The sequence below is a fragment of the Homo sapiens genome, chromosome 12 (genome assembly GCF_000001405.40).
Source record: "Homo sapiens chromosome 12, GRCh38.p14 Primary Assembly".
Taxonomy (NCBI): domain Eukaryota; kingdom Metazoa; phylum Chordata; class Mammalia; order Primates; family Hominidae; genus Homo; species Homo sapiens.
Window position 1 is genome coordinate 120,343,669 of NC_000012.12, and position 27,014 is coordinate 120,370,682.

The 27,014-nt window shown below is 54.5% G+C and overlaps 1 protein-coding gene across 23 annotated transcripts in view, besides 6 other annotated features; it reads right to left on the reverse strand.

The window, feature by feature from the left end:
• MSI1 (musashi RNA binding protein 1) overlaps positions 1-25,496 on the reverse strand; it is a 29,503-nt gene extending 4,007 nt beyond the window's left edge. For 2 of the 23 annotated variants that reach the window (XM_011538361.4, NM_002442.4), the window contains exons 1-14: positions 25,365-25,496; positions 25,165-25,205; positions 24,524-24,605; positions 24,340-24,424; positions 21,046-21,087; positions 19,375-19,467; positions 15,337-15,385; positions 14,148-14,230; positions 13,234-13,351; positions 9,631-9,711; positions 7,676-7,732; positions 3,778-3,846; positions 2,467-2,654; positions 1,902-1,964 (exon numbers count right to left, since the gene is read on the reverse strand). In XM_011538361.4, the coding sequence (XP_011536663.1) occupies positions 1,923-1,964; positions 2,467-2,654; positions 3,778-3,846; positions 7,676-7,732; positions 9,631-9,711; positions 13,234-13,351; positions 14,148-14,230; positions 15,337-15,385; positions 19,375-19,467; positions 21,046-21,087; positions 24,340-24,424; positions 24,524-24,605; positions 25,165-25,205; positions 25,365-25,423 (1,089 nt within the window). In that variant the 5' untranslated portion in view covers positions 25,424-25,496 and the 3' untranslated portion in view covers positions 1,902-1,922. The other 21 variants (NM_001414494.1, NM_001414485.1, NM_001414486.1 and 18 more) reach the window with 21 other exon arrangements.
• Positions 12,767-13,267: an enhancer, noted in NCBI's record as "H3K4me1 hESC enhancer chr12:120794238-120794738 (GRCh37/hg19 assembly coordinates)". NCBI's record gives its function as "activates a minimal SCP1, AML or CMV promoter by ChIP-STARR-seq in naive H9 embryonic stem cells {active_cell/tissue: H9 hESC(naive)}" and the evidence as "EXISTENCE:reporter gene assay evidence [ECO:0000049][PMID:30033119]".
• Positions 14,704-15,316: an enhancer, noted in NCBI's record as "H3K27ac-H3K4me1 hESC enhancer chr12:120796175-120796787 (GRCh37/hg19 assembly coordinates)". NCBI's record gives its function as "activates a minimal SCP1, AML or CMV promoter by ChIP-STARR-seq in naive H9 embryonic stem cells {active_cell/tissue: H9 hESC(naive)}" and the evidence as "EXISTENCE:reporter gene assay evidence [ECO:0000049][PMID:30033119]".
• Positions 15,317-15,928: an enhancer, noted in NCBI's record as "H3K27ac-H3K4me1 hESC enhancer chr12:120796788-120797399 (GRCh37/hg19 assembly coordinates)". NCBI's record gives its function as "activates a minimal SCP1, AML or CMV promoter by ChIP-STARR-seq in naive H9 embryonic stem cells {active_cell/tissue: H9 hESC(naive)}" and the evidence as "EXISTENCE:reporter gene assay evidence [ECO:0000049][PMID:30033119]".
• Positions 17,225-17,943: an enhancer, noted in NCBI's record as "H3K4me1 hESC enhancer chr12:120798696-120799414 (GRCh37/hg19 assembly coordinates)". NCBI's record gives its function as "activates a minimal SCP1, AML or CMV promoter by ChIP-STARR-seq in primed H9 embryonic stem cells {active_cell/tissue: H9 hESC(primed)}" and the evidence as "EXISTENCE:reporter gene assay evidence [ECO:0000049][PMID:30033119]".
• Positions 17,944-18,661: an enhancer, noted in NCBI's record as "OCT4-NANOG-H3K27ac-H3K4me1 hESC enhancer chr12:120799415-120800132 (GRCh37/hg19 assembly coordinates)". NCBI's record gives its function as "activates a minimal SCP1, AML or CMV promoter by ChIP-STARR-seq in naive H9 embryonic stem cells {active_cell/tissue: H9 hESC(naive)}" and the evidence as "EXISTENCE:reporter gene assay evidence [ECO:0000049][PMID:30033119]".
• Positions 22,059-22,249: a silencer, noted in NCBI's record as "fragment chr12:120803530-120803720 (GRCh37/hg19 assembly coordinates)". NCBI's record gives its function as "represses an EF-1alpha promoter that drives an FKBP-Casp9 reporter gene in an ReSE screen in HepG2 liver carcinoma cells {active_cell/tissue: HepG2}" and the evidence as "EXISTENCE:reporter gene assay evidence [ECO:0000049][PMID:32094911]".
• Positions 25,497-27,014: the final 1,518 nt, after the last annotated feature.

Genomic DNA, 27,014 nt, shown 5'->3' on the forward strand with positions numbered 1-27,014 from the left:
TCATATGTTCACTTGATTTTTGTCCTGTGAAATGAGAGAGGACTTTGTCTGTCTTGTTCATCCTCTTTCCTGGAATGGGGCTCATAAATGAATGGGTGAATGAACAGAATGTCATGGGCTCACAGTCTCCCACCATCTGGATAGACACTGTGATGGCCGTGTACACAGTCCCACAAGTCGAGGTATCCTGTTGTTTTTTGTTTGTTGAGGTGGAGTCTTGCTCTGTTGCCCAGGCTGGAGTGCAGTGGCCTGATCTCGGCTCACTGCAGCCTTCGCTTTCTGGGTTCAAGCGATTCTTGTCCCTCAGCCTCCCGAGTAGCTGAGATTACAAGTGCGCACCATCACGCCAGCCAAGTTTTGTATTTTTAGTAGAGATGGGGTTTTACCATGTTGTCCAGGCTGGTCTAGAACTCCTGACCTCAGGTGATCCGCCTGCCTTGGCCCCGCAAAGTGCTGGGATTATAGGCGTGAGCCACTGCGCCCGGCCAAGGTATCCTGTTTTGATAGCTGTGTACTATACCACTGTACACACACTAATTTGTTTAACCACTTTCCTTTTGATGGATATTTCAGTTATTTGCAGTTTTAAAAATAAATGCCTAGAAGTGGAATTGTTGGGTCCAAGGGCATGAATGTTTGAAACTGGGACAAACACTGCCAGACTGCCCCGGGAACCCCTGAGCCACTGTACTTACTTGCTTCTCCCATATCTTGATCAATGCTGGGCAGTGTTCAACTTAAAAAATCTTTGTGGCTGGGCCCGGTGGCTCATGCCTGAAATCCCAGCACTTTGGGAGGCCAAGGCAGAGGAAGATCGTTTGAGCCAGGAGTTCAAGACCAACCTGGGCCACATAATGAGACCCCATCTCTACAAAAAAATTTTTTAAAAACTTAGCCAGGCATGGTGGCATGCTCTTGTGGTCCCCGCTACTTGGGAGGCTGAGGTGGAGGATGGCTTGAGCCTAGGAGTTCCAGGCTGCAGCGAGCTGTGATTGCACACTGCACTCCAGCCTGGGTGGCAGTGAGACCACATCTCTATTAAAAATAATAATAATAGGGCTGGGCACGGTGGCTCACCCCTGTAATCCCAGCACTTTGGGAGGCCGAGGCAGATGGATCACTTGAGGCCAGGAGTTTGAGACCAGCCTGGCCAACATGGCAAAACTCGTCTCTGCTAAAAACAAAAAAAATACCAAAATTAGCTGGGTGCGGTAGCACATGCCTGTAATCCCAGCTACTCGGGAGGCTGAGACACGAGAATTGCTTGAACCCAGGGGACGAGTTTGCAGTGAGCCAAGATTGCGCCACTGCACTCCAGCCTGGGTGACAGAGCGAGACTCCATCTACAAAAATAAAATAAAATAATAGTAATAATAATAAACGATCTTAAAAAATCTTTGTGGCCTGCGCTGGTGGCTCACACCTGTAATCCCAGCACTTTGGGGGACCAGGGCAGGAGGATCCCTTGAGCCCAGGAGTTTGAGACCAGCCTGGGCAACACAGTGAAACCCTGTCTCTACAAAAAAAGTAAAAAAATTAGCCAGGCATGGTGGCAGGTGCTTGCAGTCCCAGCTACTCGGGAGGAGTCTGAGGTGGGAGGATCCCTTGAGCCCAGGAGGTGTGGGTGACAGAACGATATCTTGTCTCAAAAATAATAATAATAATAATCTTTGCCAACCTGATAGGTGGGATGTGAAGCCTTACTGTTGCTTTGATTTCTGTGTTTAAATGGAGTAGGGTGAGCAGCTTTTCATCTTTATTGACCACAGCTGGTATAAAGATCTGTCTCCCCTGGGACTGTGGTTCTTGAGGGCAGGGATGGGGTCTGTGTCCCAGATTCGATGGCCCAGGACAGGCTTCCCCAGTGCCACCCCACCACCTGCCCACCCCCACATCCTCACCTCCTGCCACCGTCCCCTGCTTCAGTGGTACCCATTGGTGAAGGCTGTGGCAATCAAAGGGCCCTGAAAAGGAAAGAATTTGACTCCTAGATTCCTGGGAAATAGAGGAAGATCAGGGGCTCCTTCTCTCTCTGCAGGACATCTGAAGTGAGGCGCTGACCTCTCTCTACCTGTCCGGATCGCCCCCCTACTGCAGGTCTGCCTACCCGGATCACCCCCCACTGCAGGTCTGCTCAAAGATTCTCCAACAGAGGGCCAGGGAATCTGCACAAACCGTACCCTGGATAAAACCAGGGCACCCCTGGAATCAAACCTCCATGTGAGCAGAGATGCCATGTGTCTCATTTGCACCTAGAGCCCACTATGCCTGGCATTCAGAGGCGATAACTAAGTGCCCACTGAATGAATGATAACCCCCACAACTCTTCCTTAGTGATCTTTCTCCATTCATCCTCCCTCACCCTCCTTTTGCCCCCAGAGACAAAGAAGTTCTCTCCCTTCCCCAACTTGGGGGTCTCTCAAGGTGTGGGGGGTGAGGTGGGGGCCGCTAGGCCTGGCCACTCACCCCAAGACTGTGGCCGAAGCCGGTGCTGGGGGCAGGGCTGGCGGCGCTGATGTAACTGCTGACCCCCGAGTCCTGGTTGGCCGCCCCGTAGAGCTCGGCCATGGGGCCGGGGCTGGTGGTCCCCAGGAAGCCCCCTGTGCGGCTGGGAGTCGAACCTGGAGGGGGAGCCATCGTCCAGGGGTGAGAGCCTGGCAACCCAGAAAGAAGACGGTGATAGCCCTGGTGCCCTCTGCCACCCCACGGCACCCCCTCAAGCCTGTCCCACCCACCCTAACCTGGACCCCCACATTTCAGAAAGTCCTGTGGGCCCACCTCCTGGAGATCTCCCCATGCCCATCCACCCAGTCACCCCTAGCCCTGACCCCCATCATCTCGTCTGACCACTCAGCAGCCTCACCTCCTGAGCCCCTTCCCAACCTCTCCCCACCTAGCAGCTGAATGCATGTTCTAAACCCTGACCCGCGTCCCTCTGCTACTTGCAATTTCCACTGTCTCCCCACCACCCGGGCTCCTCCTGCCTCCGTTCTCCACTCCCCACTTCCGCACTTTCCCCACCCACTGGCCTCCAAGCCTTTGCATATGCTATTCCCTCAACCAGAAACACTTTTCCTCCTCTTTGCCTTTGAATGCAAAGTTAAGAGGCCCTTCCTCTTGGAAGCCTTCCCTCGCCTTTCCTAGAGGCCCCAGCTGGGAGCTCCTCTGGTACTGGACTCCCCCTAGTGCAGCAGCATCAGCCATCAGCATTATTGCCTTTTTAATACCTGATGCCACCACCAGGCTGCAAGCCCTGGAAGGCAGAGACCCTGTCAGTCTTTTTTTTTTTTCTTTTGAGACAGACGGAGTCTCACTCTGTTGCCCAGGCTGGAGTGCAGTGACGTGATCTCAGCTCACTGCAACCTCCGCCTCCCGGGTTCAAGCGATTCTCCTGCCTTGGCCTCCCGAGTAGCTGGGATTACAGGCGCGCACCACCACGCCCAGCTAATTTTTGTATTTTTAGTAGAGACGGGGTCTCACCATGTTGGCCAGGCTGCTCTGGAACTCCTGACCTCAGGTGATCTGCCCACCTTGGCCTCCCAAAGTGCCAGGATTATAGGCAGGAGCCACCGCGCCCAGCCGACCCTGTCAGTCTTGCTGAGGGCTGGCTCGCCCATGCTGGCACGATGCCCAGCACAGAGCAGGTAATCAGGTGATACTTGAGTGAATGAACAAGTGTCCCTCTGCAAAGGGGTGGCAGTGGCCTTCTCCCCTCCCCTGGACTTCTCTGCTCCCTGTGCTCCCTCATCTCTCTTCCTGCACCTCAGAAGAGCTCACCTGTCCCTCGAACCACAGCCGCTGCCGCCGCTGCCGCCGCCATTGGTCCGTAGGCAGTGAGAGGAATGGCTGAAAGGAAAGGGATGGGCACATCAGCATGGCGGTGAGGGGCAGAGATGGGTGAAGGAGGCCCCTACCTTTTAGGCAGAGCCTGTCCAGCCTGGCCCTACCTCAGAGGGTTCCATGTAGCCCCAGGGTCAAGGCAGAAAAGGCTACCTTGGGCCACACCATCTGTGTCCTGACCTGTGGCATGGATGGAAAAAGGTGGGAGAGAGGACAGCTTCCCAGTGAGTAGCTGAGCCTCAATTTCTCCCCTGGTCTGGGGGGACATGCTTGAATAACCCAAAGCTCATGGAGGGTGGAGGCAGGGCACCCAACCCTGAGAAGCTGCGAAGGTTGCCCGCAGCTGCCCCCTTCTCCAGGATGCCCTTGGCAAAACAGGGATCACTTGGCCCAGAGGTGCCTGGGAGCTCACGTCCTTCTTCGCAGCCCACGACACCTGGCGATAGACAGACATGGGACAGGCCCCCAGGCCTGCTGCCCCCAGGTAGAGCGCTCTAGGGGTCAGGCTGAGGCTGGGCTCACACCGAGGCCATAGCGTTGCACCGCACCTTCTGCTGCCTGTCCTGCTCCCCTCGCCCCTGTCTCCTGAGAGCACCCTAAGGGCCTCCCTGACCACCCAGAAATGACCACTGCCTCCCCCAAATCCCCCCAGCCTCTTTGTCTGCCATCTCCTCTTCAGACACAGGCACCTATCCCCTTGTTTGCTGTCTGCCATCATCGCCACCTCTGCAGCACCTAGCACCTTGCCTTGTACACGGCAGGTGCTTAATACCTGCTGAAAGAGTAGAAAGGGAATCTGCTTAAAACACCCAGTGGCTTGAATGGCTTGAGCCTGGGGCTCCCTGGGGCTGAGAGATGAGCACCTCCTACTGTGAATCTTTCCTAAAAACTTCATACAGTGGGCTCCTTCTCACTCAGATGCCACCTCCTCTAAGAAGCTTTCCCTGAATACCCCCACTCAGGCGGCCCCTTGTCCCCAACCATAACGCCTTAGCACATTTCCCTGCTTTAATTTCCTCATGGAACTTCTCACCCTCCAAAAATATCTTTTTTTTTTTAAATTAATTTTTTTGTAAAGATAGGGTCTTGGAAAGGCTGGGTGCGGTGGCTCATGCCTGTGATCCCAGCACTTTGGGAGGCCGAGGCGGGCGGATCACCTGAAGTCGGGAGTTCAAGTCCAGCCTGACCAACATGGAGAAACCCCGTCTCTACTAAACAAAAAACAAAAAACAAAATTAGCCAGGTGTGGTGGTGCATGCCTGTAATCCCAGCTACATGGGAGGCTGAGACAGGAGAATCGCTTGCACCCAGGAGGTGGAGGTTGCGGTGAGCCAAGACCGCGCCATTGCACTCCAGCCTGGGCAACAAGAGCACAACTTCATCTCAAAAAAAATAAATAAATAAAATAAAATAAAAGATAGGGTCTTGGTATGTTGCCCAAGCTGGTCTCGAACTCCTGACTTCAAGCTATCCTCCTGTGTTGGCCTCTCAAAGTGTTGGGATTACAGGCATGAGCCACAACACCCAGCCCAAAAATATCTTATTTGCTTTGGGGATACTCAGGTAAGCCTTTCTTGTTTTACTTGATTTTTTTTTTTTTTTTTTGAGACAGAGTCTAGCTCTGTTGCCCAGTCTGGAGTGCAGTGGCATGATCTCAGCTCACTGCGACCTCTGCCTCCTGGATTCAAGTGATTCTCCTGGCTCAGCCTCCTAAGTAGCTGGGACTACAGGTGTGCACCATCATGCCTGGCTAATTTTTTTTGTATTTTTAGTAGAGATGGGGTTTCACCATGTTGGCCAGGCTGGTCTCAAACTCTTGACCTCAGGTGATCTGCCTGCCTCAGGTTCCCAAAGTGCTGGGATTACAGGCATGCACCACCACGCCCAGCTAATTTTTGTATTTTTAATAGAGATGGGGTTTCAACATGTTGGCCAAGCTGGTCTTGAACTCCTGACTTCAAGTAATCCACCTGCTGCAGCCTCCCAAAGTGCTGGGATTACAGGCATGAGCCACCACCCCCGGCCTGTTTACTTGTTTACTGCTGTCTCCTTCCTCTGGAATTTCAGTTCCAGGAAGACAGGAACCTTGTCTGTGTCACTCACTGTTGTGGCCCCAGTGCCTGGAGTGGTGTCTGGTACAATGAATATTTATCGAATGCATGAAAAAACCACCCAAGTCTCCTTTTCTCCAAGGCTAGAGGAAAGTTCAGATCCTAGGTGCCCAAGCACTGTTGATCTTGTACCTACTCCCTTGCCTGCCAAGATATCTCTAAAAGGGACATTTCTTCTGTCATTTCTTTAAGGCCAGGGACTGGGCTCTGAGGTCTGTTGTTTGGCTCATTTAGGCATTTCCATAAAGTCAGAGGAGCCAACCCCAGCATGTGCTTACCACACTGTAAAGAATGACTTATTTATATAATAAGTATTTGCTCCCCTCTCTAAACTGCGAGTTCTGTGAGATCAGGGCCTGCCTCTGTCTTATCCCCGCTCTGTCCCCAGGGTCTGGGAGGGCATCCTGTGCACAGTAGGTCCGTAACACATGGTGCTCTGTTGCCCAGGCTGGAGTGCAGTGATGCAATCATGGCTCACCGCAGCCTTCACCTCTTGGGCTCAAACGATCCTCCCACCTCAGCCTCCCAAGTAGCTGGGACTACAGGCATGCACCACCACCACACCTGGCTAGTTTTTTATTTTTTTTAGTAGAGATGGGGTTTCACCATGTTGCCCAGGCTAGTCTTGAACTTCTGGCCTCAAGGGATACTCCTGCTTTGGCCTCTCAGAGTGCTGGGATTATAGGCGTGAACCACCACGCCCAGCACACACAGTTCTTAAATGAGTAACAAGGACCTCCTTCCAGCCCTCCACCCTGACAACTAGTGGCCAAACTCTCCCTCTTTTCAGGGAAGAGCCTCTGTTACCTGCATCTCTAGGGTTCTCCTCCCCACCCCTTCCTTCACTCCAGGTTTCTCTTCCTCTCCCCCATTTTGGGGGAACCCTGAGCACCCCTTGGAAGGAAGGTCTTATCTAAAGCAGGGTCCATGCTCACGTCTTCCACACATGGCCAGGTTGAGGGGAGAGTCTGGGGGTGGGGTGGGGGAGAAGCAGCTTGGACAGAGAAACCCCCTGCAGCCCACCCCACGTGCTTGCAGTCTCCTCGGCTCAAGGCTGGCTCCGCAGCTGAGCTGGCTGGCCCGAGTGAAGGTGCCAGCCAGGAAACCGGCCCCCTGTCACCTTCACCCCACTTGTCCAGAAGTCACCAAAGGGCTGGATTCGGCCCTTGGCAATATTTCATTTGGCTCACAGTGTTTTAAACATTTAGAATCTGTTGCCAACATTGAAAAATAATGGAAAAATTCATACGAAAGCAAAAGCCAGGTTTCTGGCATCTCTGGAAAAACATGAGATCTGAGCATAGTGAGTCTGTGTCCCCTCCCGGCAAGAGTCAGCTGGCACCGAGGGCAGGTATGCCCACGCTGGTGTGCAGACGTCCCCACCCAGCCCACTTTGCAATGAGTTTGAGACCCTGGCTTGTTCACTGCGGGATCCCAGAGCCTCCATGGAGCCTGGCACACGAGAGGTGCTAGATAAATATTTGCCAAATGGATGAATGAGTGACTTTGCCTCCATCTGCTTGGCTTGGCCCTATGCCCCACCCTTAAGGGCCATGTAGCCGCCCAGACTGGCCAGTGCCCAGGCACAGTCTGCTGTGTCCCCACAGCCGGAGGGCTGGCGGGCAGGAGAAAAGGATCCCGCTAGCTTTCCCCAGGAAACTCCCTGGGCCCCTTCTGTTTCTCCCCATGTGGCCTGAGAGGTATACAAAATCCGAGCGACTGACCTGTAAGCTCGGGGAGGACTGGGGCGCTCGGGAGAGGGGTCCGCTCTACACGGAATTCTAAAATGAAACGTAAAACAGCTTAGGAAGAAGCAGGGGAGGCCCCTTGGACATGGCCCAGGGAGGACAAATGCACCCACAGGGACACTGGGTGAGGAGACAGGCCATGCACAGGACCCAAGAGCTGGGGAGGGGGAGAGCACAGTTCCCAGAAGGCAGGGGAGGGCAAGGAGACAGACACAGAGGAGAGACAGAGAGAGGGAGCAGAGTTGCCACCTATACCCTGGGCACGGGGCAGGGCTGGAGCTACGATTCCAGGTGTTGGCTTGTTTCCTTCTTTTCTGTTTCTTTTCTTTTTCTTTCTTTCTCTCTTTTTTTTTTTTTTTGAAATGGAGTCTCGCTCTGTCGCCCGGTCTGGAGTGCAGTGGCGCGATCTCGGCTCACTGCAAGCTCCGCCTTCCGGGTTCACGCCATTCTCCTGCCTCAGCCTCCCAAGAAGCTGAGACTACAGGCGCCCGCCACCACGCCCGGATAATTTTTTGTATTTTTAGTAGAGACGGGGTTTCACTGTATTAGCCAGGATGGTCTCGATCTCCTGACCTCGTGATCCGCCCGTCTTGGCCTCCCAAAGTGCTGGGATTACAGGCATGAACCACCGCGCCTGGCCCTTTTTATTTAAAAAAAAAAAAAAAAAAAAGACAGGGTCTCACTCTGCTGCCCAGGCTGGAATGCAGTGGCATGAACACAGCTCACTACACACTCGACCTCCTGGGCTCAAGCGATCCTCCCACCTCAGCCTCCTCAGTAGCTGGGACCACAGGCACACAACATCATGCCTGGCTAACTTGTAGAGACAAGGCCTCACTATGTTGCCCAGGCTGATCTCAAACTCATGGGCTCAAGCCATCCTCCCATCTCAGGCTCTTAAAGTGCTGGGATTACAGGCGTGAGTCACCATGTCCAGGCTCGGGTGTCTCTAAAAGGCTTACAATTTGACTATTACCAAAAACATCTCCCAGAATCCTCTTCTTCTTGTGTGTGTGTGTGTGTGTTGGGGGAAGGCAGCCTGATGAAAAGCGACGGCCCTAGAATAGGTAGAATAGGTCAGGCTTGGGTTCAAGTCCCAGCTCTGCCACTTCCTAGTTGGCTCATCTTAGCTTTGTCATTCTTCCTCTGAGCCTATGTCCTCATCTCTAAAATGAGGATAAGCATCCTTCCCCCATGAGATTATTGAGAGAATTAGGCAACGTCCCGTACACAAAGTTCTCCAAGCTGAACAGCCCTGAGGCAGAGGATGTAAGTGCTTAGGGGCCCTCCAAATAAATAAGACCCCCAAGTAAATAAATAAATAAATGGCCTTGCAAAAGTTTGTATTTCTTATTTCAAAGAAAACTGCATTGAATAGTCATCATGGGAAGTCCAGAACTGGGCTTCCTGACATTTACTTTCAGGTCTAGTGTTATCTTTATGTTGGCTTACAAATGAGCGTGGTAATGATAATGCTTTTCAACTGGTTTTCAGCATTTAGGGTCTCAGCATAATACCTTGTCTGGACTTGAAAGAGCTCAGCCTAGAGCCTGGCCATTATAGGTGTCTGTGATGATGCAACCAACAATGGCCCTCGGAGAGGCCCCCACTACAAGCCCAATGCCCTCTCTGGTGGAAGTGGCAACCCTGGAGTCGGGTGGGGAGGAGAGACAGGCAGGAGGCAGGCAGAGGATGGCCTGGGAGAAAACGGTGCCATGCAGGGCCACGCTGGGAGCCCCTGTCCCCAGCTTCTGGGGAGGGGTTTGGGGGGGATGGGTGGGGAGAGGCCCTCTTTCCTCAGACATGCCCTTCCTTCCAAGCCTCCAGCAAGCAGACCCCCAGCCATGCACCCCTAGACACCACCCTGAGAAGTCAGACTGCCCGGGAACCAGGGGCATGCTGGCAGCAGAGGGATACTGAGCAGGACTTACCGGGGAACTGGTAGGTGTAGCCAGGGGCGAGGCCTGTATAACTCCGGCTGGCGTAGGTTGTGGCTTGGAAACCTGGGTAACCTGATGGGGCAAGGGGGCAGTGTCAGATGGCTCATCCACAGGGCGGATCCTGATCATGGAGAAGGACCTGAGCCACTCATGTCCCCTCACCTTCCTTTATCATGAATAATAGCTATACCCTCCAAATACCTTCTTCATACCAAGCCCTGTGCCAAGCACACTGCACACTATTATCCCGTTAAACTCGCCTTAGAGGTAGGTACTGTTAGGCACCCCATTTTACAGACAGGAAACTGAGGCTCTGAAAGGTGACACTTTTTGGCTGAGAATAATCCAATGCTCTTTGAGCTCTGGCTCCTGCTTCCCTCCTGTCCTCATCTCCTGCACACTGCTCCTCCCTCCCTCTGCTCCAGCCACATTGGCTTCCTTGCTGTTTTTCAGCTTTGCCAAGCTCATTCCCACCTCAGGGCCTTTGCACATGCTGGTGCCTTTGCCTGGAGCACTCTTTCCAGATGACTACATGCCTGAGTCCCTCTCATTGTACAAGACTCCGAAACATCTTCCCATAGGTGTCCTCCTTCCCATCAGCTACAATTTCTATCATGTCACCTTGGCTTTTCTTAGTACTGATGATCATTATCTGAACTTATATAATGATTTTTTTTTCTTTTTTCTTTTTTAGAGACAGGATCTTGCTCTTTTGCCCAGGCTGGAGTGCACAGTGGTACAATTGTAGGTCACTGCAGCCTCAAACTTCTGGGCTCAAGTGATTCTCCTGCCTCAGCCTCCCTAGTAGCTGTGACTACAAGGTGTGTGCTGCTATGCCTGGCTAATTTTTAATTTTTTTGTAGAGATGGGGTCTTGCTGTATTGCCCAGGCTGGTCTCGAACTACTAGCCTCAAGTGATCCTCCTGCCTTGGTCTGGAATTACAAGCATGAGCCACCACACTTGGCCAGAAAGTACTCATGATTTCTTTAAGTGCTGATTTTCTGTCTTCTCAAAGAAAAATCCAATAGTTAGCAATAATGGTGCAATTAAGATTAAAATTCAGATCTGACGGGCTCCAAGCCTCTTAACCACCGATCTCACTATTTGTTAGATAATTTCTTTTTCCACTTTTTTTTTTTTGAGATGGAGTTTCACTCTTGTTCCCCAGGCTGGAGTGCAATGGCATGATCTCGGCTCACCGCCACCTCCGCCTCCCAGGTTCAAGCAATTCTCCTGCCTAAGCCTCCCGAGGAGCTGGGAATAAAGGCATGTGCCACTACCCCCAGCTAATTTTGTATTTTTAGTTGAGACAGGGTTTCTCCATGTTGGTCAGGCTGGTCTCGAACTCCCAACCTCAGGTGATCCACCCGCCTCAGCCTCCCAAAGTGCTGGGATTACAGGCGTGAGCCAAGGTGCCTAACTTCTTTTTCCACCTCTTAAATGAAGGGTGAAAACAGCTCATGAATCACCTTAGAATAAAACTTTCTCAATGTTCTAAATAAAACAAAGTGAAAGAGACAAGACAACTAACTACAATACCTGATTCTAGCCTGGATCTTATTCTGAAGGACAAAAATATTCTATAAAGAGCATTACTGGGTCTGGCTGGCCATGGTGGCTCATGCCTACCACCACAACACTTTGGGAACCTGAGGTGAGAAGATTGCTTGAGGCCAGGAGTTCGAGACCAGCTGGGCAACATAGTGAGACCCCGTCTCTACCAAAAAAAAAAAAAAAAAAAAAAAAAAGAGCATTATTGGGTCAATTGATAAAATTGGAAAATAGAAAGTAGATTAGATAAAAATATTGTATCAAGGCCGGGCGCGGTGGCTCACGCCTGTAATCCCAGCACTTTGGGAGGCTGAGGCGGGCAGATCACGAGGTCAGGAGATCAAGACCATCCTGGCTAACACAGTGAAACCCCGTCTCTACTAAAAATACAAAAAATTAGCTGGGCACGGTGGCGGGCGCCTGTAGTCCCAGCTACTCGGGAGACTGAGGCAGGAGAATGGCGTGAACCCAGGAGGCGGAGCTTCCAGTGAGCCAAGATCCCGCCACTGCAGTCCGGCCTGCGAAAGAGTGAGACTCCGTCTCAAAAAAAAAAAAAAAAAGAAAGAAAAAAATATTGTATCAATTATAAACTTAGGAAGTTGATAACTAAACTGTGGTTACATGAAAGAATATCCCTAATCTTAGGAAGCATCAAAGGGTAAAGGGCCACGATGCATGTAACTAGCCCTCAAATGATTCAGTGAAAAATCACAAGTCTGTGTGTCTATACATGTGTACATACATATTTGCAAACACACATACACACACATATATACACATAGAGTAAAACTGATCAACCAAAATGGGGGCAAAATGTTAAGAACAGGTGAATCTGATAACAGGGTATATGGATGTTCTTTGTACTGTTTTATTTTTGCAGCTCCTCTGAGTTTGGGATTACTTCCAAATAACATGTTAAAGAAAAAAGAAAAGCTTCAAGGAAGACTGTGCCCTATTTGGAGGCTGCTCGCCTCCCCGACTTCTGACCCTCTAGCCCATGCCGTGCCCCCTCCTCTGAATTCCCAGAGTACCTCTCTGTGTGCCACTCCCCCATGCCTGGCATAAAGACCCCCTTGTACTGTTCTCTTTCTGTGTGTACACATCTCATCTCCCCAGGGAGCCTATGAGCTTCCTGGGGGGCCAAACTCAGATTTACCACCCTCAGTCTTGGACCCAAAGCACAGCTGACTCCTGCTCAGCTTTCAAGGCTCATGGCAGCCTTCACCTCTTCCAGGAAGTCTCCTCAACCTCCAGGTGGGTTTAGGGGCCTCCCACAGCCTCCAGTCACTCTGTAGTGGCAGTGCCCATTTACTCCTGTCTCCAACTTGAAGGAGAGCCCCATGAGAGCAGGCTCTCCTTCTCAGAAGTTGCTCAATAAATATTACCTGAATGAATAAGACCAGGCAGCCTTCCTTTTGCCCCCTCCAAAGGCCTTTGGCCTTTGCAAATGCTGTTCCCTCCGCCTGGAACACTTTTCCCCTTCCCGTCTCTCCAGCCTCCCCATCACTGGCTCCTACTCCACCCGCAGACTCAACTTAAATGTAACTTCTTTTCCCACTTCTCCAAGTCACGGTCAAGTTCCCTGTGACCACACTCCCTCGGCACCCTACACTTCTGCATCTGAAATCTATTTTATCTTCTTACTTGTTTTCCCTGCCAGATTGTAAAGAAAGTCATTGTTGCAGTTCCTGGCATAATGTCTGGCATATAGAGTTGCTCAATAACTGTGTACTGGATGGATGAATGGATAGAGGAATGGACAGATGGAGGGATGGATGGACGAGAGAATGGACAGATTGACAGGACCAATGAATATGGTTGGACCTTTCTGCTGGCTACCACCAGAGGGCAGCACCCCCCAACCAAACCACCCCACCTTGGGTAGGACTGCCAGACCCGACAGATCCCTTGTCCCCACTCCTGCTCAATGACTCAGACAGGAGGAGGGCAGACCACAGGGGAGGTGCAACACCCACACAGCCCCTGCTAGTCCTGGGAGCAGTTCTGGCAGAAAGAAGCCGCAGGCGCAGGCTCGCGCATACCCAGCATGCCGATGCCCAGCATGAAGGCGTCCATTCCGTAGGGCATGACTCGAGACCTCCCCCGGGCTGAGCCCGTTGGCGACATCACCTCCTTTGGCTGAGCTTTCTTACATTCCACCTGCAATGAGACCTGGCGGTTAGTCTTTCCCACAGAGCTAGAGTCATTAGCCCTCTTGTTCCCTGGAAAGCCCCTTTATTAATTTTATTAATTTCACTGTCCAGCTGAAAACTATTTCATGGTTACCACTGATGGAGCACTCACTATGTGCTGGGGAGTGTGTAAACGGCTTTGCATGCAATCGTTCAATGAATGCTTACACCAATACTACCAATACTATGATGGAGGAGCTTTTCCAGTCCCATTTGACAGATGTGGAAACTGAGGCTCAGAGAAGGGAGGTCATCTGCCTGATTAACTACCGTGTGACACTGCCTCCCTGTCTAGGTTTTTAGGGGTTGGAAGAACTGGCTCTGCCTCCACTCACTCGAAGCCCCTCTGCCTGCCTTTAGAACCTCATAGCTTCCCTGGCAGGCCCCACAAGGAGCCCCAGTCTTCTCTGTGCCTGCGCTCCATCCAATCCCAACTCACCATGTTTTTGTTTTTGTTTTGTTTTGTTTGAGACGGAGTCTCACTCACTCTGTTGCCCAGGCTGAAGTGCAGTGGCACAATCTCAGCTCACTGCAACCTCCACCTCCCGGGTTCAAGCGATTCTCCTGCCTCAGCCTCCCAAGTAGCTGGGATTACAGGCACGCACCACCATGCCTGGCTAATTTTTGTATTTTTAGTAGAGACAGGGTTTCACTGTGTTGGCCAATCTGGTCTCAAACTCCTGACCTCATGTAATCTGCCCACCTCAACCTCCCCAAAGTGCTTGGCTTACAGGCGTGAGCCACTGCGCCCGGACCCAACTCACCATTTTGTTGTTGATTTCATGAAAATGAATTTCACACACTTTCTCCACGATGTCCTCACTCTCAAACGTGACAAACCCGAACCCTAGAGGTTGGACAAAGGATAAAGGCAAGGTCAGAACCAGAGCGCAGGGTCAAAACTCAACCCCAGGTCGTACCAATATCCCCGCTCCTCTCTCTCTGGCGAGTGAGAGTTAATGAAAGGCTCTGCTCACAGCCTGGAATCCTCTCAACTATCCACTGAGACAGGGTTTCAAGTCCCAGAATACAGATGAGGAAAATAAGGTTCAGGTAAGTGAAGTAACTTGCCCAAGGTCACACAGCAAGTTAGAAAGTGGTAGAGCTGTGATGAGAATACACTCAACATGCTTTTTCTAGTCCTCAGGTGTTTTCCAAAGAGGGAAGAAGGAACACACATGCACACTCATTTAAACTTACACAAAGGTGTACATGTCCAAACATACAAATGTACATAGACACACATTCACGCATGCATACATCTAGATACCTGCGTATCACGCAGACACATGCAGTTACCCTGACATACCAGATATAAACAGATATTTAGGCACAGATACCCCCTTTTGCACAGATACAAATACACACACACACAGAACACATACCCCACTCCCAAAATGGACTAAAAGTCCTGAAACAACTGGAGAAACAACCCTGTCTCCTCCTGGGTGTGCCCCAGGGACTGGAAAGGGATTTCTCAGAAGGTAAGGCCCTCGGGAGAAAAACAGCCAGGTGGCGCACACGCACACGGTGTGGCCCAGATGCTCACAGGTTCAGAGGCAACGGGGCTGGGGGCTGGGGGCTGGGCAGGAGGTGACTGCCTGGGGCTGTGGAGTCAGCCTGACCCTGGGCGGCCTGGCCTAAGCTCTGGTTACCAGGGACAAGGTAAGCCCGGGCAGAGGCAGACACCACTAGGGTGGGGGTAGGAGACTCAGTGGGTTGCAGGGACTGGGGGGGTGGGTACTCCTCTGTTCGTCTCGTGTGTCTGCAATTCGGCAAGTTTCTAGCACAGGAAATGGTGGGACAAAAGCCTTCTGTAAGGCCAGGCCTGGGAGAGGACGCAGATCCTGGGGGATAGGATGTCAGAAGGCGAGATGAAAGGGCAGCTGTGACCTGCAGCCCCCTGGCTGACCACGGGGCCCAGCCTGGGAAGGGGGAGGGGGCCACACTCACCTCGGTGCCGGTTGGTGGTTTTGTCAAACATCAGCATGGCGTCGTCCACCTGAAACACAGCCCGCCATGGAGGACCCAGCAGATACCAGCGGAACCCACTACCACCAAGGAACAGGGGCTCTGGCAACCCACTGCCCTCTTGCCCACTCCAGGCTTGACCTTCAACCTGCTCCCTGCACAGGGGACAACTTTCCTTCTGCAACCCCACTGAAAACCCTTTTCAATCACCATCATCTCAATGCACCAGCCTGCATTTATTAAGCTCCATTGTCCTCCCAACATTCCCTGCATGGTAAGATCCCCATGGTGTAGATAAGAAAGTAGGCTCAGAGAGGTGAAGTTGCCTGCCCAAGATCACACAGCAAGACCTTGACCAAACTGGGGAGGCACAGAGAAGATGCTAGAGAAGGAAATATGGGAGGGAGGAAAATGACAAGATGGGGAAGCAAAAGCCTCATCCCTTTCTGTAAAAGGCCAGGAGGACAGCAACCAGACTGGACTCCCCTCTCCGGCTACAGATCTTTTCCTCTAATTGAGGTTTCCTTTTGCTAGAGGCTGTAATTAAAGCAAGTAGAGTTCAGTGCCTGGGCTGCTTTGCCTCCCACTGACTGGGGGAAGGGAAGGAGACTGGGAAAGGGGGAGGATCTACATCATCCATCCTCTCTTGGACCCCAGTCTACTCTTGTTACTTCCTCTAGGTACCCCTTGGATATACGGTCACCAAAGGCCTTGGTGCCACCTTCCATTTGCCTGCATCTGGTGCCTCCTCCTTGCCCTCTTTCTTAGTTAAGGTCTGAGTCACCTTTGGTATAAATCAGGGGCTGCCTCTGATACCCAACCCAATCCTACTCCAGGCCCCAACCCTCCCCCAAATGACCAGACATCCAAAGGATTAAAAAAAAACTTTTCTCAAGCCATCAAGCCATGGGTAACCAGCCTCTTCCCTACTCTCCTTCCCTCTACTTCCAGGCCCAGCATCCACCACCTTCTTTTTTTTTGGAGACAGAGTCTTACTCTGTCACCCAGGCTGGAGTTCTGTGGCATGATCTCGGCTAACTGCAGCCCCCGCCTCCCAGGTTTAAGGAATTCTCCTGCCTCAGCCTCCTGAGTAGCTGGGATTACAGGTGCATGCCACCACTCCTGGCTAATTTTTGTATTTTAGTAGAGATGGGGTTTCACCATGTTGGCCAGGCTGGTCTCGAACTCCTGGCCTCAAGTGATCCACCCGCCTCAGCCTCCCAAAGTGCTGGGATTACAGGCGTGAGCCACCAGGCCCGACCCCATCATCTACCTTCTAAAGGCCCTCCCCTGCCTCATTAAACACCCTGAACTACCGTGATCCTCCAGCTCTCCTTAGGCATCAAGCTACAGTGGGCCTCTGACTCCCACTGGGAGAACCAGGACCCCACTGAGCCAGGAGGCAACAAGGTCCCTGGAGAATCTCATGACATCTCTCTTCTCAAAGAGCTGCCTGTACTGGGGCCCACGCAACAGAGTGGCACTCTCACTCCCATCCTATGGACCCACTCTGAGTCCCAATCCCAAATCAGCTGGACCACCCGAATGGGACAATCATTTCAGGTTCAGCACATCTTGCCCACCCCTCACTTAACCAATGAAAAACAGAAACCCAGAAAGAAGGATTGTGGTCATAGCACAGGCTTTGGGTAGGACGGGCCTGAGCTGGAATCCTGGATCCTGCATTTGCTGGTTGGGTAACCTTGGGCAGGTGACTTGATGTTTCTCTGGCTTTGGTTCCTCATCTGTGAAATAGGCATAACAGTGTCTATCTCACAGGTTGAAGTTAAATGAAAGACACCTTTTTTTTTTTTTGGAAAAGGGTTCTCGCTATATTGCCCAGGCTAGTCTTGAACTCCCAGGCTCAAGCAATCCTCCCATCTCACCCTCCTTGGTAGCTGGGACTACAGGTGTGCACCACCAAGCCTGGCTATGAGAGGATTTAGTGAGATAGTGCATGTAACACTCTTAACTCACAGACCCAGGATATAGTAAGTGCCTAATAAATAATAGCTATTATTATTATCTTTACAAGGGAGGGACTTGCCCATAGTTACACGGGGGGAACGTGGCAAAGCTGGGGAGAGAGCAGCCAGATACTAATGGCTTGAAGGTTGCATGAGGACATCGTCTGTGTCATTTAGGGCCATGACCACCATCCTATTGAGCACCTTGACTGGAGGTCAATCATTTTTTGAATGAATGAATGAATGAATGAACGAACCAGCCACACCCTCCCCCCTAATCCTACAGCTCCGAGTCCCTGCCTGACCCACAAATGGATTCAGCCCAAATCCACAACTTCTCCCACCTTCCTCCACCCAACCCTGCAAGGAAGGCCACCATCCCTGGCCCCACTACACCCTTCAACCTGGGCCTTGGCTGGAGAGGCCCCTAGTGGGACGGTGGGGTTGAGGCCAGGGCAGGGGGCAAGGAAGATGGCTGGGGGTCCGGGTTAGCCCCACCGGTGTCCCCTCCTGGGGCGAGCTGAGGGGAGGGAGGCTCCCGGCCCAGTGTCCTTAATAGGCTTTGGTCTCCATGGGAACCCGAGGGCAGGGGGGATCGGGCGGGGGGAGGGGAGGCGGCCGAGGCCTGCTGACCAGTAGGAGCCGAGCCGCCAAGTTCGGCGGCCGCTAAGCCTGAGTGGCAGCCATGGCGGCTGACCATTGTTCCCCCCTCGGCGGCGGCCCCTCGATCCGGGCGGGGGGCCCCCCGCCGCGGGGCCCTTGGCATTCCCGGCTGTCCCCCTCGCTCCCTGGCAGCCTATTCTCCGGCTCCCCCTGGCCTCCCCGGGCCGGTTTCACATGCCAACGCCGATTTAGGCCCGAACAAAAGACGCGGCCGCTGACGGCTTCTCCTGGGGCCCGGTTGCCATGGCAACGCCGGCCCCGGGGGCAGGCGGCCTCCAATCACAGCTGCTGGATCAGATTAGTGCGAGCTCTAATGCTCGGCGCTCAGACACAAAGACACCCCGCCGCAGCCGAGCCGGGCCTGCTGCTTCCCAGGAGCGCCCTACCCTCTGGGGCCCGGGCCCGCCCGACCTGCCCTCTGTCCCGGACCCAGGTGCCCACCGAGGCACGAAAGCCGAGGCCTCTGGTCCCCCACACCACCAGCCTCAGCTGGCCAGGGGACACCTCCCCCCCCCACACAATCCCAGGCCCATTTCCCAGGCCACGTCCCCCTTCGCTTGCCTGGGGGTGACTCGAAGTGTCTTGATGGGAAAGTAGAGACCCAGCCTCTCGCCTGTCTCACCTAAAAGAAGAAAGACCAGGGACCCCGGCCCCAAGCAAAACAACCCTCTTTCCCTCCTAGACTTCAAACGTAGGACCCTCTCTGCCATCTCCCCATGGGACTCCAAAGTTCACATTGTCCACCTTTCAGAGGACACCCTAATGTCGGATGTCGCCACAACATCTACCTCTTCAGAGGCCCAGAAATTAAAGCTCCATGCCCCTTACAGCTCACAGCCAATCCTCTGGGCCTGATCAGGAATTGGGGGATGCTCTCATCAGTTCCCCCCAATACCCAGGGGACCAGCAGCCCCCCAGCTCTGGCTCCAAGCTCCCCACCTGTGCAAATAGGGTGCCGAGTGCAATTGGGAGTCATATTTATTGCCTCCTTATCATCCTCGCCTGGAAGGAGTGGGGAAAGGTTCAATAGCCTGTGGCCTGGACAGGTGCAAACTCCCAGGAGGCCACGGGCTGACTTGATTGAACTGGCTGTGGGAGCACTGCCTCCCTTGTGAGAATGAAGATAAGTAAGAGAAAAATACAGTGGAAGGGCAACAACAGGGCCAGCTACTGTGTGGCTTCTCTGTCCCGAGGGATATCCTGAGTCTGAAGCTCACAGATGAGCCAGGAGGCTGCAAGGTGGATTGGCCTGGTCTGCCCCCACAGCAGGATCCAGCCCCACTCTCATCTTTTGCAGGAATGGAATGACCTGGCTGGATTCGGCTTGCTAGTGCCCCATTCTACAGTGTGTTCACAGCCCCAGCAGCAAGCGCCCCCAGTTTAAACCCACCTTCCCAAACTGCTCAAAATATTGCTTCACGTCCTCCACCGTGGTGTTCACCGACAGCCCCCCCACAAAGATCTTCTTCGTTCGAGTCACCATCTGTTAGGGGAGGGAATGAGAAAGTGGGCATCTGAGTCCTGTGGCCTACCGCCACCAGCAGGGGCTCGAGCCCCCCTGCCAGGATGCCAGCTGACAAGCTCTCTGTGGCCCCAGCCTCTTTAAAGGCCCCCCCCCCGCAAGCTCCCTCTTGGACCCCCGCCTCTAGGCCTGTCATGGGCAGCTGTGCACCCACACCCTGGCTGGCTCGAGTGTGCCTCCTTCCTGCCTCCCTCCCTAGGGACTATGTCCAGAAAATGCCTTCCCTAAGGACTAACACAGGGAAGGGGGCGGGCCAGTGACCCAGACCCACAGCCTAACACTAAGACCTCACTGGCCCTCCTGGGAGACCCCCCAAGGTCCATCACAGAGTCTCCCTGAACTCAGTGCCGACATTTTCCTCATCAGCCTCCTCCCAACACAACCTCTGGCAGCCCTGTGGCCCCAGCCCTGTTTTAGGAAGAACACATGGTCCTAATTACCCCAGGAGCGCATGGCTAATCCGCGGCAATTCCCAGCCCCATCCTAACACTAAAGCACCTTCTGTCACCAAACTGCTTAATGGAATTAACCCAGTTCCAACCATGTGCTCCCTGGTGCGGCTTCCTTCGAATACCTGCTCCATAATTGCTTTCAGGCCCTCTACTGGACCCTTCCAGAGATGCCCCTTTCCTGTCTCCCAAAACTCTTCCTCTCCTTCAGCCCTGGCAGGAGTTGGGGGACTTGATGGAATTCACTGGCCCGGAATCTTAAAGAGCTCTAGTTCCACCTGGCAAAGGAGGAAACCGAACTCTCCTAGAGAGGGACCTCGTCCTAGGACCCATGATAAGTCAGTAAACTCAGGGGTCCTGACCCCATGTTCCGCAATCAGTCTCTCCTTCTGTCCTCTATATTCAATTGCTTCAAAAGGAAGACCTGGCTAGTTGCCCTGAGGCCTAGAATAGACTCTTAGGCCCCTGCCCTGCACCAAAAGTTTTTTGAGTGTTGTATCACTCAACTGCTCAGAAATCCATTTTCTGCGCACCTTGACCCTCTCACTGGGAGAACTCGCCAGAGCAGCAGGGTAAGAGAGCATTGAGAAAGCAGCCACAGACATCTAAACTGAAAGACAACAGGTGACAGAGTCTGTGGTCCCCTCTGCCTCTGCAAAGGGTGACTGGGGGGATCCAAGGGTAGCTCCCTAGCCTGCCTGTAGCGCGGCCTTAGGGTCTAAGTCTGTCCTGTATTTCACTTCCAGAGGCCTGGACATCAAGGCTGTGGTCTATGATGTTGGAATTAGACTCAGGCTCCAAACTCTACTGGGTTCAAATACAGGACGATGAATCCTCTGAGTAGCTCCCCTTTCTCCCAACACACACAAGCCCCTCTCCAGTCCACCCCAGAGCTCACGTGGAAAGACATATAGTGTCTTCAGGCCACAGAGCAAGGACGTCAAGAATCCCCTCTTCCCAGCCCAGCCCATTCCACAAACACTCCAAGCAGAGGTTCCAGAAGCATCTTCCAGAGCAGGAAATACTGGGAAAATCACTGCCCAGCATTGCCCATAGTAAGAGAGCTCCTCCCAGACATAGACACACCTACCTTGGGCTGTGCTCGCCGAGGGAAGGCCACCTTAGGGTCAATCTACAAGAAAAGGGAGAGGTAGAAGGGGTCTTGGTTATCGCATTTTTAGAAGAGCGACCACACAGCCTTCAGCCCTCAGGACCTCTCTCCTCCCAGGACACAAAGGTGACAGAAATCACAAAAGCCTCTAGGAGGAGAGAATAGTGGTTAAGCATTTATTTTTATTTTTTCTTCAGACAGAGTCTCACTCTATCACCCAGGCTGGAGTGCAGTGGCACGATCTCAGCTCACTGCAACCTCTGCCTCTCGGGTTCAAGTGATTCTCCTGCCTCAGCCTCCCTAGTAGCTGGGATTACAGGTGCGCACCACCACACCCAGCTAATTTTTGTATTTTTAGTAGAGACGGGGTTTCACCATGTTGGCCAGACTGGTTTCAAACTCCTGACCTCAGGTGAGCCGCCCGCCTCAGCCTTCCAAAGTCCCGGGATTACAGGCACGAGTCACCACGCCCAGCCAGTTAAGCATTTAGACCCTAACGTCCCACTGCTGGGTTCAAATCCCATTTGCACTGCTTCCCAGCTGTGAGACCATGGACAAGTTATTTCCCCTCTTTGAACGTCAGGGTCAAGTTCACCTGCAAAATGGGCAAATAATAACACCCACCTCAAAGGGTCATCAGCAGATTATTGGAGATAATGCATACAAAGCATTTGGCATGGTGTCTAGCTCACAGCAAAAACAAAAACAAAAAAAATGTAAGCCGTCTTATTCCTTCAAGTATCAGGTAAATCGAGGGCCTTCCTTGCGTAACTGACTTCACACAGATGACCTATCTAGGTAAGGTATGCAATTCAGGCTTTGGAAACCCTGCAAATGGGAATACTCTTTGTCTGCAAAAGGCTACAAGCTGAGAGTTCATAACCATCAGGAGTAGGCTCAGTTCTGTTTTCGCAGTACTATCAACATCAAATAGCTCTCCTTGAGGCTGTGAGCAAACAGCTCCTTGATAATGCAGCTAGGCTTGGGGCAAGGCAGAGTGCAGTCTTCGGTGACGTGAAAGGGCATGGGACTTGACCTAGAAACTCTGGGCCTCTTGCCAAGCCTGTGATCTTGGTAATGCACTCGAACTCTGTGAGCCTCAGTTCCTTCATCTGCAAAGTGGGGACAATCACACCCGCTTTTCCCAGGGGCAGCTGCGGGGAATCAGATGAGATAACGCGGGTGAAAGCGGCCCTTTGTGAACTGCCCTTCATTGCACAAACAAAGGTGCTATTACCAGCAGGCCACCTTTGCCCTTGGCTGTGAACAACCAGAGGGAAAAATCAAGATGCATCTGGGTGTACTCCTGGGTACTATAGCTGTACGACAAACAGCAAAAGACAGGGCATGAGACGCTGTGATCCATGCAGGGCCTACAGGGCCAGGTCAGGCCAGAGCTTTTTGCCACCCACATGGGTGGACGTCATTCATAAGTTCACCAGCCAATCGCAGGGAAGATCTATCTTTTCCCAAAGTTCCTTCTGTTCAAAACTCAGCCTCGTTCTAGGCAGCTGGCTCTGGCTTCTCTCTGAATGGCACAGACCAGGAACTAGCCTCCTACAGGCTCCCCCACTGGAATCTGTCCACAGAGATGGAACCTCCAAAATCCACACTGGGGCAATGCCTCCTCTCCTGCCAAGTCCCACTGGGCTCCAGGGAAAAATCACAACTGCCCATTTCTCCCGCCTGAAGTTTCAATTCCACACCTCCACGGACATGTCCATCCTTCTCTTTCTCCCAGAAGCAGCCGCCCCAGCCACCAGCGCACCACACACAGTCCCCCTACACAGACCCCGATGGGGAGATGGTACCCAAGCCACGATCCCACAGACCCACGCACACCCCATCCCTGACACACCCCACCTCCACTGTGACTCACAGCTGGCAACATAAATAAAACCCAACAAGTAAATAAAAGGTGAAAGTCAGAGCTCAAAATAGACTCCCCACAGTAAACCTCCCTCCCACCCCCTTTCCCAGGCTGGAGGACGCCAAACACAGACAAAGCCCTGGCCCTTTTCAGCCCCATCTCCTAAGGATGCTCATCTCACCCTCCTTCCTCCCTCATTCTCTTCCCCTTTATCAATCTTCCACTCCTCCATCCCCCAGCCCCTAAATCTCAGCTTCCTCAGCACTGCAGAAGCCATCAGTGCATTCTGAGGACAGGGGATGGTAGCAGAACAGGCAGCTTGATGGCAGATAATCACCAAAAACAATAGGCCACTGTCTCTCCATTTCCAGGCTTGGGTCACTCAGGCTGCGCCAAGAAGATCCTTTCAGAGCCGGCAAAGTTGAGGCCTGGCCTCATTTGCTCATTACTGCGAGCGGGAGCGGGAGCCACTGGGCAGAGATAACAGGAGCTGGGGACAGGCGGTAATTTGACAAATTCTTGGGCACAAGCAGCTATTGTTGCAGGTAAACGGGAGCCAGGGACTGACCCAAGCAGAGAGGCCCAAGGCTGGGGGACAGCAGGGAAGCATGGAGAGAAGAGATCCACACTATCCCTGCCCCCAGCAGACAGACACCCCCATCACATGGGAGTAACCCCCTCCTCTGACTTTTCTACTTTTCCATCTGCCCTGGAGCCAGCGCCCCCTGCAGGGTCTAAGACACGAAGGAGCTGTGGGACAACAGCAAAATGTTCCATGAGTTTGAATGCCAACCAAGCAGCTTCTCCTAAGATCTAGTCTTCCGAAGGGTCGTTTCCAGGCAAGCTAGAGCCTTTCTCATAAATCCCCTCCGTGGGCAAAGCAGGTCCCTGTCTTCCACACAAAGCAAGGAGCTCATTGACCAAAAGTCGGGGGAGGAGGGAAGGAGAGAGGGAGGGGGCTTCAAGGGATGCTTTGCCATTGGTCTGGATGAAGAGGGGGTGTCGCAGAGCCAAATACTAGTTAGAGTTCACAGAAGCCACCGGGTGGGTCAGTGCTACCCTGACTCACCCAATTTGGGCTGGGGGAGGGACCTAGCCCCACCCCAAGCTCTGCTCTGAGGCATCATGATTAGTACTTCTAGGGAGAGGGTGGCGGCTGCCTCTCCCCTCACCAGGACTAGGGGAGGGGGGATGTAGCATCTCATGGCAGGCCAGGGATTTTTCTCCTCCCTCTCCCCCCCAACTCTAGTGACAAAGTTTCAGAGCATGGCAGCCCTCTTACTCAGAAAAACTCCCTCCTTCCTCATGGACCCCGTCCAGCTGTCCCCTGGGGAGAGTCCTGACCCTCTCCTCCGGCAGCCTCCCTCTCCCAAAGGACCCCCGAAGCCCCGAGGGCCACTCACTGTTTTGGAGTCGAGCTCGTGCCGCGATTGCGCCAGCACTTTATCCACCCCCGCCTGGTCCATGAAAGTGACGAAGCCGAAACCCCTGCGCGCCGTAGTGAGGGAGAGGCAGATGGTTACAAGGCAGTGAGTGGCGGGTGGAGGGGGGCGAGCCGGGAGCAGGAGGAGGGGGTGAGGGGCTCACCTGGATCTCTTGGTCAGGGGGTCCCGCATCACCAGACACTCCTTCACCTCCCCGAACTGGCCGAAGTATTCGCGCAGCCCTTCTGTAACCACACACCCGCCTTCGGACCAGCCCGGGCCCCGCGCCCTTCCCCCCCCCCCGTCCTTTGCCCCCGGTGACCCCGGAGCGGCCCGGCCGCCCCCGCGCCAAGCTGCCCGCGCGTTCTCCACTGCCGCCGCCCCCCACCGCCCTCGCCCCGTTCCCGCTGAGCCTCCTGGCGCCCACCGGGGCCCCGGGAAGCCGAGGGCCGAGCTGGGCTGGAAGGGGGACGGCTCCGGCCGGGTTCCCGCCGCTCCGGGAGCAGCCTCACAAAAGTTTGAGCCGCAGGTGCGAGCGGAGTTGGCGCTGCCGCCGGCGGGTCCCGGGGGCCCAGCCCACCCCCCGATACCCCCTGAACCCCTCATCTGCTCCCCTCCACCCGCTGGGCCGGGTGCGCTCGCGGATCGCCCTGCGCTCTCGGGGTCTCCGGGCGGGGCGCGAAAGAGGGCGCGAGGGCGCCCGGGGTCAGCAGGGCGCAGGGCCGGGCTGGGGTGTCCGGGTCCGGGGCGCCGGGGGGTCCGGGGTGCCCTGCCGGACCGGCGGGCGCTCCCGGGCTCGCTCACCCTGCGTAGTCTGCCAACTGAGTCCCCCGATGAACATCTTGCTGCGGGAGGAGGAGAGACACAAAGGGCCCGCGTGAGCGCCGGGCGCCAGGGCGCAGGGGGCGCGGGCCCGGGCTCCGGGGAGGCCCGGCCGGACCCGGATCGGCCATGTTGGCGGGGCCGGGGCGGGCGCGGGCCAAGCAGGCCGGGCCGGGCCGTACCAGGGGTCGTGCGGCGAGTCCGGGGAGGCGAGGCCGGGCTGGGGCGCGTCAGTCTCCATCGGGAGCCGCGGGCGGCGCGGGCAGCGGAGCGGCGGCGGCGGCGGCGGCGGCGGCGCTCGGCGCGGGGCAGATGAGGAGCGCGGCGAAGGGGGCCGGACGGACAGGCCATGCTGCCCCCTCCCCCGACCCCGCTCGGGCGGGCGGGCGGGGACGGCCGAGGGGAGGGCCCGCCGGGGGCCGACCTGCCGGCTCCTCCCCCCGCCGCCCTGCGCGCATAAAGCCCCGCGCTCGCCCGCGAGCCCGGGCGCCCGCGGAGGCGGCGGCGCCGGGACCCCCTTCCCGCGGGGCTCCTGGGTCTCCGGGGCCGAGCGAGACCCCCGAATCCCGGTGCGGGCCGGGACCAGGGCGCGGCCGCACCCCCCACCCACCCCGGCGCGGGGGCCCGGCCGCGGGAACGCCCTCCCGGAATGAAGCGCTTCCCGGTGCCTTCAAGGTAGCTCGGTTCCGGATCGGGAACCCCCCCGGTCTTCCCTCTCAGGTCCCTGCTGTCCAGAATTGAAGAGAACCCCAATCTCCTCGGGTCGGGCGGGAGATAGCCCTAGTGCTCCCCAGTCCCCACATGCTCCATTTCCCCAGTCGGAGCGAGAAGCCGCCCTCAGAGCCCCCAGTTTCCTCCCAACCTAATTTACAGCCCCCCACCCCCACCCCAGGGCTCTAATTTAGAGCCCTCGCTCCGTTCCCAGGATCCCATATCCAGTTTGGGGGACCCACTCAGTGCCTCGCGTCCCGAGTGGGGAACCTCCATCAGCACCCCAGTAGAAACCGTATCCTCTTCCCCAATCCGTCCTCAGCCCTTGGTGTCCAAAGTGAGAGTCCCCCTTAGTTTCCCCAAATCCCTGCCGTCCACATTAGTGGACCCTATGGTCTGTTGAGAAAATCCCGCGCCCCAAGCCCGGGTTCTCAGTTTGCCGCCACCCCCACCTCCCGGTGTGAGGAGTCTCCCCTGGTTCTCTCCCTCCCTGGCCGGTTTTTGTGAGATCCATTCAGACTCCTGTCCTGATTCGGGAAACCCGGTTCCAGACACTCACCACCCCCACCACACCGAGGCTGGAGGAAAAGGCAGTGCCTCTTAGAGCCTCCTGTTTCCAGTTTAGGAGCCCAACGCCTCAGCTGTGCACCGTCCCCTCCGAATGACCCCCTTCTTTTGCAGAGGTCTAAGCTCCACCCCATCCCATTGGAAGAGCCTAAACTACCTACCCACTGCATTTGGAATGACTTCCCTCAGTCCCTCTTATTTTGAGGCTACTCCCCGTGAAGGCAAACACCTTCCTTTCTACCCCCATCTTCTGGGTCTCTGGGATCCCCCAGTACTTGCACCCAAGGCTCCTTGGAGTCACCTTACGTACCCCTAAAATTCCCTCCCTCCAGCCTGGGAACAACCCTGAGAAAGTATTCTGGTTCACCAGGGGAGCTGCGGGGCCACTCTCCTTATCCCCACCTCTCCTTATCCCCGCCTCTCCATATCCCCACCTCTCCATATTCCCACCTCTCCATATCCAAGCCTTAGGACCCTTCACTTCCCCAGCTGAAACCAGCCAAAAAAGGATCAAACCAGGAAGCTTAGGTGGCCAACACCCCTTCTCCCCATCC